General features: G+C 33.4%; 1 long non-coding RNA gene across 2 annotated transcripts in view; it reads right to left on the bottom strand.

The window, feature by feature from the left end:
* The window catches only part of FAM230A (family with sequence similarity 230 member A), a 79,211-nt gene extending 67,081 nt beyond the window's left edge, over positions 1 to 12,130 (bottom strand). Inside the window, exons 1-4 of one of the 2 annotated variants that reach the window (NR_165629.1) lie at positions 12,011 to 12,130; positions 8,479 to 8,537; positions 7,986 to 8,010; positions 4,953 to 5,039 (exon numbers count right to left, since the gene is read on the bottom strand). This is a non-coding gene — a long non-coding RNA (family with sequence similarity 230 member A). Of the gene's footprint in view, positions 1 to 4,952; positions 5,040 to 7,985; positions 8,011 to 8,478; positions 8,538 to 11,166; positions 11,271 to 12,010 lie in introns of those variants that run through there. The other variant, NR_136560.2, reaches the window with a different exon arrangement.
* Between the last annotated feature and the right edge of the window lie 5,440 nt (positions 12,131 to 17,570).

The following is a 17,570-nucleotide window of genomic DNA, read 5'->3' as shown; positions in this document are numbered from 1 at the left end:
AATCTTTCAAGATTGCTGAAGACTGTATGATGGAAGTCATCTGCATTGGGAAAGAAATTAATGGAGAGAGGAGAAAATTTGAGAATCCACAGTACTCACCCTGCAGGGCCAAGAACTCTGTCTCCCATGCTTTGCTGTCCTGTCTCAGTATTTCCTGTGACCACCTCCTTTTTCAACTGAAGACTTTGCACCTGAAGGGGTTCCCAGGTTTTTCACCTCGGCCCTTGTCAGGACTGATCCTCTCAACTACTGACCATTTCACCTCCATTCATGTCCATGCCACATCAGGCTGTGTTGTCTAGATGGAATGAATCCACCCCAAATGTCCCTTTCTGGAGGAAGCCACCATTATGCTGTACCTCCAAGCATAATGGTACGTCCACACACACCAAGGCACCTCGCTCATGCAAGGTGTGTGTCCTCTAACAAAGTTTCACGCTCTAAACCCAGATAACTTTTGAAACCCAAGTTCTGTTGATTCCCCTACTTTGGGTGCTCCATAGATGCTCATTTGTCTACTAAACACTGCCCCAGGCAATTAAATATTCCAAAGTGACCAGCAGAATTTTTATGTTAATTCTGACATTGCGTTGTTAGTACAAGTGTTTTTCCCCCTTCAAATTTATGTCTTTGTTACTGATAAATGTAACTGATAATGCGTTTTTCAGCTATGTTGCCAAGCATATTTATATAAAAATATACTCAGATTGTTTTCAGAATTTGACAAAGATGATAGCAACAATGATAATCTTATTTGTTTTATACCAATCTTTATGTGTTACTTTCATCATTTCTTACATATTGGGGCCTACCATACATTGTACGGTGAAATTAGTGCTATGCATCATGGTAGAAATATAAATTGGCAAAAGTAATTTAGAAAATAGTTCCCTTCTTTCTTAAAAAAATTAGGCTGGGTGTGGTGGCTCATGCCTATAATCCCAGCACTTTGGGAGGCAGAGATGGGTGGATCACCTGAGGCTAGGAGTTTGAGACTAGCCTGACCAACACAGCAAAATCCTGTCTCTCCTGAAAATACAAAAATTATCCAGGCATGGTGGCGTGTGCCAGTTGTCCCAGCTACTCGGGAGGTTGAGGCACGAGAATTGCTTAAACCTGGGAGGTGGAGGTTCCAGTGAGCCGAGATTGTGCCACTGCACTCCAGCCTGGGTCTCAGAAAAAAAAAAATTTTTTTGACCAAAATGTCATTATGCATTACATGACTGTATATGAATGCTCAAAGCTACATTACTCATCAAAGAAAATAACAAAACAATTAAATGTCCATTAACTGATAAATGAATAAACACTATCTGTATGAGTAAACACAGCAGACTATGAAGGAAAACACATGACCAGCACGTGCTAACACGTCAATTAACTTCAAACATAGTATGCTAAATGAAGGAAGTCAGATTCCAAATATATATATATGTCCATTTCTATTAAGCAAATGGGAAATTTATGGAGATGGAATGTCACAGCAGTATTGCTTAGGGCTGGAGATGGGAGTGGGGATTAACTGCCAGTGCGCAAGAGAGAACTTGGGTGAGGGAAACATATTTAAATTAGATCGTGGTGATGGGTGCACACAGTATCAATTTAATAAAGCATCAAATTGTAGACCTTTTCAGTGGGCAAACTTTATGGTGGGTTCACACCCAATATAGGTGTTAAAAATAAATTAATGTTACGGAAATTCTTGTCGGGTTTTTAACAAGCCAAGAGATATGCTGTGAAAGCAGCATTAATTCAAATGGTTGTCACAGGTCACTTAAAGTTAGATAGTTGTCCTACAAATATAGGGTGAATGTTATTCATGAATTTCCTGAATCTATTGCAATAATCACATTTTTTTCCATTAAACTCTTGAGGTAGCTAATTTTATTTATTGCATTTTCAATGTTAATCTACTATTTCATATATTGAGATTAACTCACATTAGTCAGAATTTACAGTATTTTAAAATATCACAGAATTTAATTTACCTTATCTGGTTTTGGTTTCAAGACTATACTAGCCATTTCATTTAATTGTACATGTAGGGTATTCTAATTTATGGAAAACTATTACATCTTCCTTGATTTTTTTTTTTTTTTAGAAATTACTTCTAGGGATCTATATGGTAGAGTCCATGGAGAATTGTTTTAATTCTTCATTCATGTCTTCAGTGGGTATAGGATTGGTCATATTGGTCATAGTTTTCTGCTCGGATTTCAATAAGAAACTTGTGGAAGAACCTGAAGGGTGGGATCTTTGAGGGAGCCTAAGACAGAGCAAGACAAGCTAAGAAGGAGGGCAGTGCCACAGCAGAACTGCCATTGATGCCCCCTCGCCTAGATTGCGGAAGAGACATCCAGCTGTAGACACTGAGGTGCAGGAAAACAATGGAGCACCATCAGAGAAAGCAGTGCCCAGGAACAAGGAGGCACTGATGGTGGCAAGGGGCAAAGACAGCTGCCACGAGGCTGTTCACATGAGGGTCTCAGGCTGCATAGACACCCACACCAGCTGAGGGGTCCTGGTTTTCATAAAGTGTGTGGCTCAGCCAGGCCACCAACAAGCAGTTCACAAACAGTAGTAATACGACACTTTCCAAAGACCTTACTTGAGTAACACGGTGATCCTCACAAATTTCCAATCAGGATGGTCGCACAGTTCCTCCTGCTTTAGGACTCAGAGCCTGCCCGTGGTCACAGTGGGTAGGTGCAGACTCTGAAGATGCACTTTGGTCAGAGACCCTGCTGAACTCTGTCTAATGAGGACCTCTGTCCTGTCTGCTGACCACCGGTCAGAGGTGCAGGCTGCAGTGGGGAGTAAGAATGCCACCTTCTCAATGTTGGGAAAACTCCCTGCCAGAACTGAGAATGGCCCTTTCTAAGCAGAAGGCAAGCTCAGACTAAAGAAGGAGGCCGAACACATCAGGTTGGCAGATTGCCAAAGATTCACTCAGGGAGAGCCCACATCCTGGGCCATCTTGGGTGGTGGCAAGATGAGGTAGACGACTGCTTTTGCAACACACACCTGACAACAAAAAATCAACAACTGTAAAAGAGCCACAAAATCCCCAAATATTTGCAAATTAGCAATGCACTTTTAAATAACTGTTGGGTTAAAGAAGAAGTCTCAATAGAAAATTAAAAGTACTTTTAACTACATTAAAAGAAAATGTGACTTGGCAAGATTTCTGGATGTAGCAAAAGCAGTCCTTAGAGGGAAATCTATAGCATTGGATGCAATATACTAAAAATCACAAGACCTAAAATCAGTAATATCATGTTTCAATTAGGGAACTATAGAAAATAGAGGAATGCAATGGAAAGCAAGTAAAAGTAATAAACAACATCACAGAAATCAATAAAATTAAAACACTGAAATCATCAGAAAATCAATAAAACCAAAAGCTGGTTCTTTGATATGCTCATTACAATGAATGAATTGATATGCAGGCTAACCAAGAAAAAGAAGATAACACAAATGACCAATTTCAGAAATAAAAGAGGAGCCATCTCTACTGAACTGTTAGGCATTAAAAGGAATATCATGAACAGTTCTATGAGCGCAGTTTGATAACCTCAGTGAAATGTATCAATTCCTTGAAAGGCAATCTTCCCAAGGTCATGCTAGGATCCTAATTTGAATAAACTTATGTCTATTAAATAAGTTGAATTCACATTAAGAGCATTCCGAAAAAGAAAGCACCAGGCCCAGATGGTTTCTCTCATGAAATCTACCGAATTCTTCAACAGGTGAATAAAAAGACAAAAATTCATTTAATGCAATATTATTTGGTGATTTAATGTGCCATTTTTTGCCATTAAGGCATAAAAAAGACATGAAAGCAGCTAAAGCGTACATCAATTTAGTGCAATAAATTCATCTGAAAAAACTACATAATATATGATTCCAACTATATGACATTCTGGAAAAGGCAAAGCTGAAGCGATAGTAAAAATATTAATAGTTGCCAAGGTTTCTGGAGAAAGAGGACAGAGATTAATGAGAAGAGAGGATTTTTAGGGAAGTGAACATTTTCTTTATGAGACCATAAGGGTGAACATAATGTTTTAAATATTTCAAAATTCATATATATGTATAACAGAAAGAATGAACATTATGCAAATGCAGACTTCAGATAATAATGTGTCAATATTTTCTCATTATTCTAGCAAATGTACCACAGTAATGTAAGATGTTACTAATAGGTGAAATTAGGAAGTGAGGGTGAGGAGACAGAATAATATGGGAACTTCGTGTATTATATACTCAATTTTTATTTATTTATTTATTTATTTATTTATTTATTTATTTATTTTGAGATGGAGTTTCACTCTTGTCACCCAGGCTGGAGTGCAATGGCATGATCTTGGCTCACTGCAACCTCTGCCTCCCGGGTTCAAGCGATTCTCCTGCCTCAGCCTCCTGAGTAGCTGGGATTACAGGCGCCTGCCACCACACCCGGCTAATTTTTTTGGATTTTTAGTAGAGATGGGGTTTCACCATGTTGGCCAGGCTGGTCTCCAACTCCTGACCTCAGATGATCCGCCTGCCTTGGCCTCCTAAAGTGCTGGGATTATAAGTGTGAGCCACCACACACGGCCATATGCTCAGTTTTTATGTCAATTTAAAACTCTCTAAAGAAATATATTAATTGAAAAATAATAATATAGCACCACTCTTTCAGGGAGATCTATGCTTATGTTTAACAACCAGGTAAGTTCTAGACATTAGCTTGAAACATTGTCTATCATTAAACATGAACCAAAATTGACTTTTAAGTAGATATTTACTTTTGTGGTGGTAGCAATATTTACTGACCAGGCAAATTAGAATCCTGACACATTAAAAAATATGGCTTAGTCTCTTCATAGTTTCCTCTTACATATGGGACACTGAATACTCCCCGCAACTGCAATTCTTGAATCAACTTAATTAATGAACTTCCACAGTACCTTCTTGTGGGTACCTCTTCTTCTTTACCCGGGAGCCATGAGGTCTCCTACACTGGTTGGTGTGCACAGCATATCTTCTTATATTCTCTATCAGAGAAGATGCTGGTTAATGCATTTACAATAGATAGGGCTGTTGACATCTTGCTGACAGAGGACCAGAGGGAAAATAGTGATAATCTGTTCTAAGTTTAAACTTATGATCCTTTTCTTTACAGGCTTCCAAGCAGAGCCCACTGAATCAAAGTTGGGTTTCAGGAAGATCACGGAGTTCAGTGAGCACTCAACACCTCTATCAGACAGACTGCGTGGGCAGTGCCTTCCTGGAGAGGAGAATACAGCAGGATGACTGTGAGTGCAGGGCTGGTGCAGAGTAGGGGCCCGGATTCAAATTCCACTAAGCCATGTGGACCTGGCAAGCTCATGTCCTCCCTCTGCCCTCAGTTCTCTGCACTGTCATAATGTAATTTTAGCAATACTTTTTAGGCCCTATTTAGGCCCTACTTCTTAGTATCACAGTACAGGGCTAAAAAATCACTAAATACAGGAAAACCTTAGAGAGGACTGGTACTTCAGTAATGTTCTCTAAGTGTTTACTACAGGCCAGGAGGAATAAGCTGGACACTCAGCAGTGGCGGAATATGGAGGGGGAACTTGGATGGCTCCGGGGCAGTGGAGCATGCTTTCCTGTTCGGCTTTTCCGTGGGCATGATGCCTTATGGTTTATGGAGAACATCAGCCCTGCAGGGGGTGCAGAGGAGGGGCTGTGACTGAGATTTTACACTTGAGGGTGCTGACATTCAGAGATGATAAGTGACGAGCAGAACCTCAACCCCGCTGAGTGAAGGACCTGAGATGGGAAATGTATTTGGTTCCCTAGAGAGAGAGATTCCTGAAAAACTGCCACCTCTTCATCACGCCCTGTGCCAGAGACCCAAGAGACCCCTCACTGTTTTTCTCCAGTCCTCCTAGCCCAAGGTGTGTGGGTGGACAAAGGTGATGCTCTGGAGGAAATGCCTGAGATAAGGACAGGTCCTTAATGATAAAGAATTCTCCTTCCTCTTTCAGATCCTTGACCTCCCAGTATGACAGCTTAAAGGCTGTCATCTCTGTGGCCTGCCTCCCCTTTCCCTTCACCCTGCCAGCTGCCTCTCAGTGACTGTCTCCTCCAGTGACTACACTGAGGGACCAGGGACTGCTTGCCTCCCGAGGCTGCTCAGACCTTCCGACACTGCAAAATGATTGTCAAAAGATGGGTCTGCAAAGAGTAACTTCCCTTCCACTGATCAAACCTGAATATGCAAGCTACTGTGAATTAACTGGAAAAGTGGCCGTGTGGGCTGGTGCTTTGGTGATTTAATGAATTAAGTCTGCAACCCCCACTGCCTCCTTGACTATTGATCAGAGCTGCCTGCAATAAGGTCTGGCTAAGAATGGGCAGTGGCTGCACCAGCTCTGGGTAAAATTTGACCTAAAATGACCAGTCTCATTCACTAACCTCACCATAGTCTTATGGGTTCAATGGACCTGTCCAATCCTTTGCTCTGTTCTCTCCATCACCTTCCTGTGTAATTTTCCTCCACCACGCACATAAGAGAAACATGGCACAGGGGAGCTAATCGCCTCTTTTATCCCCCACTTCAGGCTCACACGTAAGTTTATAGTAAAAGCCTTTTCAAATGACTGCTTTAACTGCTGCTACAGCATGTGTCATCAGTTGAATGGAATCTGTCACGTGACTTTAAGCAACCCTTTGCTGAGAGACAAGATTCAATACTAGGGACAGTATTCTAGTGTACTACATCATTGATTTTATGTTATGAAGATCATCATTTATTGAAAATGTATAAATAATGAAGCCCAGCCTTACTCTTCAACGCTGTGTGTGTAAATCCACTGAGTGTGCTGACCCCCACGCTTGTACCCACCTGCTAACACAGAAAGGGTCCACTCAGAAGGCAGGCACAGCTCCAGCACTGAGGCTGTCCACACCAGCTTCACAAGAGGGTTGCCACAAGGACGACGGATACCCGGATAACAACCAAATGGTAATTTGAGTACTTAATGGTCATGATCCCTAAAGTGTGTAGCTCAGAGGGCTTGTGGTGATAACTCCATCAAGACTCTAAAGCATCTCCCCAATTCTTACTGGACTTGATCCATGTCTTGAGGAGACCCAGCTATGACACGCAGGCACCACATTGTCCTACTTAGTGCCTCCCTTAGTGTTTCAGAACCTGTGATTTGATCAGAAACATGGGCTTTCTATGTTGGTTTCACACTAAGGACTATGTGACACCTGCAGGAAGATGTCTACATAGCTACCTGGATTATGAGATCATGAGGCTGTCTTATGTGAGGGATGGCGTTTGGGATCTCTGCAGGCGTGGGTAATTCCAGGCATAGAGGGTGCTGGAACTCCCTTGCATGGTGAATAGTGATCTCTTCACTGGCTGATAAATAGTGGTTGTAGTTCAGGCCTTCAACATTAGCACCGTATGAGGAAACATTTTGACTCTTCACTATGCAGCAAGTGAACCAGGGCACATTTATTTATGTGGCTTAGTTTCTCCATCTGGCATGTGGGCTCAATAAACAAGCTCACAACATATGGGCATGATGATGATGAGGTGTGAACTAATGTAAGTAAAGTATGTGGTCTGATTTGTTAAATTAAGAAACATGGCACTGAGAGTTGTGCTGGGTAAACACAACATTTTTTTCCTAGGGGAAACACACATAGACACACATTCACAAGCAAATCATGCAGACTTGCACACAGACCACCTCACCCCACCCCCGCCCTAATACACACATACCCACACACAACCTAATGTGAACATGTTCCCAGAAACTATACATAGATAAAAAGAGTATGTCACCAGGAAAACCAGTTTCTTTTACTATACCCTACATCCTCATTCCCACCAGATGTCTTGGATCATGGAGGCTCTCCAGACAAAAGCCAGCAGTTAAGCTCCAGATTTCCTGTAGAATCCTTTTCTAACAACCAGTGAGTGATTCCAGAATACGTACCATTGAATGTGCTCCCTGAAGTCACCTGTAATTAGAGAAGGAAAACACTCTGAGAATCAGGCTATGCTATGGATGGCTCACACAGGTCTTTTGTTCACTTGGAAACTCTGGGTAACCAAGACTGGAAATAAGGTTCAAGTCAAAAGCCCCAACTCTAGAGTAGAGTTGCCTTAGGAAAGCACAGGAGCTTTTGTTGAAGAATGTTTCTGTCTAGGTAATTTTTGAGTAGCAATTGCAGAATTCTTATCTAAAGTGGAAAGCTTGTTCCTGAAGAAAACATCCCTTAACACCCAGTGTACTATCTGACACTGCCAATTTTGCACGTCCTCTGGAATCAGGTGTCAGTTGGTAAAATACACCTCCTCCATCCCCAAGGAAATATTATCTAACACCTATAATGTAGTGGAGAATTTTCCCATAGCTGATATCAACTGAAAAATAAAGGATCCAAGAAAACAACATTTACATCTTAGGCAAAGACAGGCTACTTTACCTTGGTGGTAGAGTAGGGCTTCCTTTTCACACGCTTTTTGGAAGGCTTCTTCGAGTCACCTAGGGGATGTGGAGGGACACAGCATGGCTGTCAGTTCATTGGCAGTGCTACTCATGAATGACTCAGGGACTGGAACTTAGGGGCGTGCCTGGTTAACAAGCATGGAATGAGCTTCTCCTGGACCATCTTCTTCACGGACCAAGGAAGGCAAAGAAAGAGCAGCAAGGAAATGAGAGTAGAGCCCTTGGCTTTCCAGGTAATGGCAAATGAAAGCAACGTGAAATAATCAACTCCAAATGAACAAATGCTAAAACACATGCTACGATTCAACCACAGCATCCTGTCACTTCTTCAGACCCTTTAAAAGCCCAGCAGGACTGCCACTACCTTCTTGACATCGACCAAGTCCCTTTCAACCTCCACAGACCCACATACACTGCTACTGCATTTATCATGGAGGGTATAGGGTTCTGCCCTGTTTATGTGTGAATTTTTTAAAAACTAGATTTAATACCATGCACCAGCATTAATTGTATTTATTTCTTTTCTTGGTTATGAAAATAATCAGTCAGGCATAGTGGCTCACACCTGTAATCCCAGCAGTTTGGAAGGTGGAGGTGGGTGGATCATTTGAGGTCAGGAGTTCGAGACCAGCCTGACCAACATGGTAAAACCCCATCATTGAAGATAAATGTTTTATATCCATGGTTAACAGATGAGATGACCATGAAATGAACACCAGTGTACTGGGTGGAGCAGCTTATCTATTCAGTCTTCGGCACTAAAACCTGTGAAACAATATCATCTTGCCTTATTTACTAACAAATACAAGTGCCTCTAAACTTAGACAGTTTCCAAGTCATGGAACTGATGAGCACTTAGCTCCTGCAGAGAGCTCTGGATGATGGGTCGGGAGAACAAAGACACAATACATCAAAACAGCATTCACAAGTAAACAGGTTTTCAAAGCCCTCTACATGCAAATTTACACAATTATCCTTTTAATTTTTATCTTCATATATATGTACATAATCTACTTGCTTCTGAGTATAAATCAAACTGTATGTTCTTAGTTAATAGTCTCTATAAATTCACTCTATTTATCTTTCTGAGTTGAAATACTGCATCTCATTGGATAACAAAAAAAAAAATTTGACTAAGATTACACTGGAAAGGTGAGTAGGTTGGGTGATTGACTGTGATTGACAATTCCATGATTCTGGATAACTTCCAAAGCATAAAAATAAATGTGTGTTTTCTTTCACACGTAGACAATACACATGCTTATTACTTTAAAAAATTAATATGTGCATGGAAGTGACTTACTACAAATATATTAAAGTAAATACACATTTCACAAAAAAAGAAGAGAGGAAGGGAAAAACATGTTAAAAACAAAGAGAGTTACATTTTATTGTGTGAAAAGCCTCCAACGGATCCTTACTACTGTGGCTTTGTTCCAAAGTTTTGGAAAGTAATGATTTCATAGGTTCTTAATTGGGTTAAAAACAGCATTAAAATAGACTTCGCCATATTCTCCCCAGGGGAATAACTTAATCTGTGGGGTGGGGGATGGAACGTTGAAGGATGCAGGTTGAAGGATGCAGGATGTAAAAGGAAATTATATATATATTATGACATATATTATATTATATATATTATGACATATATTATATTATGACATATATTATATATGACATATATATAATATATGATAATTATATTATGTATATAATATATATTATTTATATATATTATATATATTATATATATGATATATAATTATTTATTATATATTATATATTATATAATATATAATATATAATTATATATCATATATATTATATATATAATATATATTATTTATTATATATTATATAATATATAATATATATAATATATAATTATATATTATATATTATATATTATATATTATATATAATATATAAATAATATATATTATATACATAATATATAATATATAATATATATAATATATATAATATATAATATTATACATATTATATATAATATATATTATATATACTATATATATTATATATAATATATATTATATATACTATATATATTATATATAATATATATTATATATACTATATATATTATATATAGTATATATATTTTATATATAATATAAAATATATATAATATATTACATATAATGTATATATTATATATAATATATATGTTATATATATTATATATTATATAAAATATATATAATATATTATATATTATATATATTATATATATATATATATAAAATTTGGGAATTTGGGAATAAACGGACTCCCAATTCACACTGGGACTACACCAGCTGCCACCATGCCTGGCTAATTGATTGTATTTGTAGTAGAGACAGGGTTTCACTGTATTCGCCAGGATGGTCTTGATCTCCTCACCTTGTGATCCTCTTGCCTTGGCCTCCCAAAGTGCTGGGATTACAGGCCTGAGTCAAGATACATATTTTTTAAATGAAGAAAAATTTCAAAGATACTCTGCTTGGTACAGTAATCAAATATATAAATTGAGGAATAAAACATAATCATGAAACATATTTATAACTGCATATGGAAAATACAGAGGCTAATTTTTTAAATAACATATTTTGAAAGCATTAACTAGTAATTTGAAAAGATCGCATTTGACAGGCCAGTATGAACATACCTTGAATGCAGCCACACAGGTTCCCCATAAGAAAAATCAAAATCAGGGAAAATGAAACCACAATGGTTCAATCTGCTCTGACCTTTGAAAAACTCAGCACAGATAGTGGCACGTAGGACCAAGGGCAGGAGATCCCTAATCCCATCACCATGGTGATAGGGCATAAACATTCCAGGGTGAAGGCACAATCCACACTGTGAGGTCCAACTGCTGCCATGCAGACAGGTGGGCTTTTACAACTACAGGAAGGTCATCAAAGGCTCAGTGTTTTGTTTCAAAAACTGAATCCCAAGCCCACACATTATTATGCTGGCTTCTTAAAATAAGTTATGAGATGGGAAATAGGGCACCCAAAAATATATATATATATAATTATATATAATATAATATATAGTATATATATAATATATTTAATATATTTTATATATATATATATATAAAATTTGGGAATTTGGGAATAAACTGAATCCCAATTCACACTGGGACTACACCAGCTGCCACCATGCCTGGCTAATTTTTTCTATTTGTAGTAGAGACAGGGTTTCACTGTATTGGCCAGGATGGTCTTGATCTCCTCACCTTGTGATCCTCTTGCCTTGGGCTCCCAAAGTGCTGGGATTACAGGCCTGAGTCAAGACACATATTTTTTAAATGAAGAAAAATTTCAAAGATACTCTGCTTGGTACAATAATCAAATATATAAATTGAGGAATAAAACATAATCATGAAACATATTTATAACTGCATATGGAAAATACAGAGGCTAATTTTTTAAATAATATATTTTGAAAGTATTAACTAGTAATTTGAAAAGATCGCATTTGACAGGCCAGTAAGAACATACCTTGAATGCAGCCACACAGGTTCCCCATAAGAAAAATCAAAATCAGGGAAAATGAAACCACAATGGTTCAATCTGCTCTGACGTTTGAAAAACTCAGCACAGATAGTGGCACTTAGGACCAAGGGCAGGAGATCCCTAATCCCATCACCATGGCGATAGGGCATAAACATTCCAGGGTGAAGGCACAATCCACACTGTGAGGTCCAACTGCTGCCATGCAGACAGGTGAGGGCTTTTACAACTACAGGAAGGTCATCAAAGGCTCAGTGTTTTGTTTCAAAAACTGAATCCCAAGCCCACACATTATTATGCTGGCTTCTTAAAATAAGTTATGAGATGGGAAATAGGGCACCCAAAAAAATATATATATATAATTATATATGACATAATATATATAATATATATAACATATATATAATTTCCTTTTACATCCTGCATCCTTATATTATATATAATATTATGTATAATATAATAGGTATTATTATATATAATATAATATATATGAATATATATAGCAATATAATATAATATATGTAATTATATATAATGATATATAATATATAATTATCTATATTATATATAATATAATATATAATATAATATATAATATAATATAATATATAATATAATATAATATATAATATAATATATAACATAATATATAATATAATATATAAAATAATAATTAATATTTAAATTAATTATTATTAATTAATATTAACTAATATTAAAAATAATATAAAATACAATTAATATATCTAATATAACCTATAATTATTATATATAATATAATATACAATTATACATAATATATATAATAAAATATATATAATTATGTGTATTTATTACATATAATATAATACATAAATTATATATAATTATTACATATAATATAATATATACTTATATATAATTATTACATATAATATAATATATAATTATATATAATTATTACCTATAATATAATATATATAATTATATAATTATATATAATTATATATACAAGATAATAATACATAATATATATAATATATTATACAATATAATATATTGTATAATATATTATATAAGATATTATATATAATATGTTGTATAAAATATTATATATATTATATATAATATAATATTATGTATAATATAATATATAATATATATTATATTATAACATATTATACAATAATATATTATAATATAATGTATATTATAATCTAATATATTATATATTATAATCTAATATTATATATTATAATCTAATATAATATTATATATTATAATCTAATATAATATTATATTATATATAACATTATATAGTATTATATATTTTATAATAATATAATATATAATATATTATGATATATTATATATAATATTATATAATATATTATGACATATTATATATAATATATAAAATGATATATTATATATATTACATAATATATTATGATATATATTATATATTATATAATATATTATGATATATATTATATATTATATAATATATTATGATATATATAATATAATATAATATAATTATATGTAATATAACATTATATATCATATATTATATATTATATATCATATATTATATATCATATATTATATATTATATACCATATATTATATATTATATATCATATATTACATATAATATATGTCACATATTGTATGTAATATATGTCACATATTATATGTAATATATATCATATATTATATGTAATATATATCATATATTATATGTAATATATATCATATATTATATGTAATATATATCATATATTATATGTAATATATATCATATATTATATATGTCTTTTATTATGTAATATGTATCATAGATATTACATAACGTGACATATAATATATATTATTTATATATAATGTATATTATATTTTATATATATTATATATATTATATATTATATGTTTTATGTAATATATAGTACATATAATATACATTATATATATATAATTTTTTTTAGACAGATTCTTGTTCTGTTGCACAGGCTGGAATGCAATGGTGCCATCTTGGCTCACTGCAACCTCTGCCTCACGGGTGGAAGCGATTGTCCTGCTTCAGCCTCCCAGGTAGCTGGGGCTACACCACACTGGGACTACACCAGCTGCCACCATGCCTGGCTAATTTTTTGTATTTTTAGTAGAGATAGGGTTTCGCCACATTGGCCAGGATGGTCTTCATCTCCTCACCTTGTGATCCTCTTGCCTTGGCCTCCCAAAGTGCTGGGATTACAGGCTTGAGCCAAGATACATATTTTTTAAATGAAGAAAAATTTCAAAGGTACTCTGCTTGGTACAATAATCAAATATATAAATTGAGGAATAAAACCTAACCATGAAACATATTTATAACTGCATATGGAAAATACAGAGGCTAATTTTTTAAATAACATATTTTGAAAGCATTAACTAGTAATTTGAAAAGATCGCATTTGACAGGCCAGTATGAACATACCTTGAATGCAGCCACACAGGTTCCCCATAAGAAAAATCAAAATCAGGGAAAATGAAACCACAAAGGTTCAATCTGCTCTGACCTTTGAAAAACTCAGCACAGATAGTGGCACTTAGGACCAAGGGCAGCAGATCCCTAATCCCATCACCATGGCGATAGGGCATAAACATTCCAGGGTGAAGGCACAATCCACACTGTGAGGTCCAACTGCTGCCATGCAGACAGGTGTGCTTTCACATGTACAGGAAGGTCATCGAAGGCTCAGTGTTTCATTTCAAAAACTGAATCCCAAGTCCACACATTATTATGCTGTGCTTCTTAAAATAAGTTATGAGATAGGAAATAGGGCACCCCCAAATATATATATATATTATGTATAATATAATATATATAATATATAACATATATATAATTTCCTTTTACATCCTGCATCCTTATATATAATATCATATTTAATATAATATATAATATTATGTATAATATATATTGTTATACATAACATTATATATAATATAATATATATAATTATGTATAATTATATAATTATATATGAAATATAATAATGTATAATTATATATGTAATATAATAAAGTATAATAGATAATATATATTATATATTATACAAAATATTATATAATGTAACATGTAATATATAGTATATCATAATATAATATATTTTATAATATAATATATTATATATTATATATGATTACATTATATTATATTATATTATATATTATATAATATATGATATATTATGGTATATTATATATTATTATATATAATACAATTATATATAATATACCATAATATATATGATATATGATAAATAATATATTATATATATCATAAATTATATATAATACATAATATATATCATAAATTATATATAATATATAATATCATATAATATAATTATATATAATATAATATATAATATATAATATAATATAATTATATATAATATAATATATATAATATAATATAATATAATATAATTATATATCATATAATATAAAATATATAATATATAATATAATATAATATAATTATATATAATATATCAGATATAATATATAATATATATCAGATAAAATATATAATATATAATATATATCAGATATAATATATAATATATATCATATATTTTACATAATATATATCATTTATTATGTAATATATATCTTTTATTATATATAATATATATCATTTATTATATAATATATGATATATCATATATGATATATATCATCTATATCATATATTATTTATCATCTATATCAGGTATGATATATCATCTATGTCATATATACGATATATCATCTATATCATATATGCGATATATCGTATATATCATATATGATATACCATGTATATCATATATATGATATATCATGTATATCATATGTAGTATATAATCTATATCATATATATTGTATATAATCTATATCATATATATTGTATATAATCTATATCATATATATTGTATATAATCTATATCATATATATTGTATATAATCTATCATATATGTTGTATATAATCTGTATCATATATATTGTATATAATCTGTATCATATATATTGTATTTAATCTGTATCATATATATTGTATATAATCTCTATCATATATATTGTATATAATCTATATCATATAGTATATAATATATATCATATATTGTATATAATATATATCATACATATTGTATATAATATATATCATACTTATTGTATGTAATATATATCATACATATTGTGTATAATATATATCATACATATTATGTATGATATATATCGTATATATTATATATGATATATATCATATGTAATATATACGATATATATCATATATATTATATATGATATATATCATATTAAGTTAAGTTTGGGGATAGCCCAGAATTATATATGGATTTTCAACTGCACAGGAGCTGGTCCCCTAACCCTTGCACTGTTCAAGGATCAACAGTATGTATAATACTACAGATTTTATTCATATTTTAGAGTGTAGTACTACTACTCATTAAAAAAAATTAACTATGAAACAGCTTCAGGAAGGTCTTCCACGAGTTCTTCCAGAAGAAAGCCTTGTTATCATAGAGAATGACAGCTGCATGTATGTTATTGCCACTGAAGACCCTGAAGACCTTTCACTTGGACAAGATTTCGAGATGGAAGACAGTGATATTGATTATCCTGACCCTTACAGGACTAAGCTAGTGTGTGTGTTTGTATCTTAGTTTTTAACAAAAATGTTTAAAACATAAAAAATCAAAATAAATGAAGCTTATCAAATAAGGATATAAAGTATTTCTGTACAGCTGTTCAATGTGTTTTTGTTTTAAGATGTGTTATTATCAAAGAATCAAAAAATTAAAAAAATTAAAAGTTTATAAAGTTATGATAAGCTAAGATGAACTTGTTAAAGAAAGAAAAAATTTAAATACATTTAGTGTAGCCTAAGTGTACAGTGCATATAAAGTCTATAGTTATGTACAGTAATATCCTAGGCCTTCGCATTCACTCACCAGGTACTCACTGACTCATCAGAGCATCTGCCAGTCCTGCAACCTCTGTTCATGCTAAATGTCCTTTACTGGTGTACCACTCTCTTTAAATTTTGTAATATATATATATTTTTTTCTTTGTTTTTTTTGAGAAGGAGTTTTATTTTGTTGCCCAGGCTGGAGTTCAATGATACGATCTTGGCTCACTGCAACCTCTGCCTCCGGGGTTCAAGTGATTCTCCTGCCTCAGCCTCACGAGTAGCAGGGATTACAGCCCCACGCCAGCACGCCCAGCTAATTTTGTATTTTTAGTACAGACGGAGTTTCTCCATGTTGGTCAGGCTGGTCTCGAACTTCTAACCTCAGGTGATCCGCCCCCCTCGGTCTCCCAATGTACTGTGTTTTTACTGTATCTTTTCCATGTTTAGATATTACTACTGTGATATAACTGCCTACAGCAGTGGGCCCCAAAGTTTTGACACCAGGGACTGGTTTTGTGAAAGATAATTTTTCCACGGAGTGGGGATGGCTTTGGGCTGAAACTCTTCCACCTCAGATCATCAGGCATTAGTTAGATTCTTTTTTT

The sequence above is a fragment of the Homo sapiens genome, chromosome 22 (genome assembly GCF_000001405.40).
Source record: "Homo sapiens chromosome 22, GRCh38.p14 Primary Assembly".
In the NCBI taxonomy this organism is placed as follows: Eukaryota; Metazoa; Chordata; class Mammalia; order Primates; family Hominidae; genus Homo; species Homo sapiens.
Note: the sequence above shows the minus strand (reverse complement) of the source record. Positions and strands in the feature narration are given on the sequence as shown.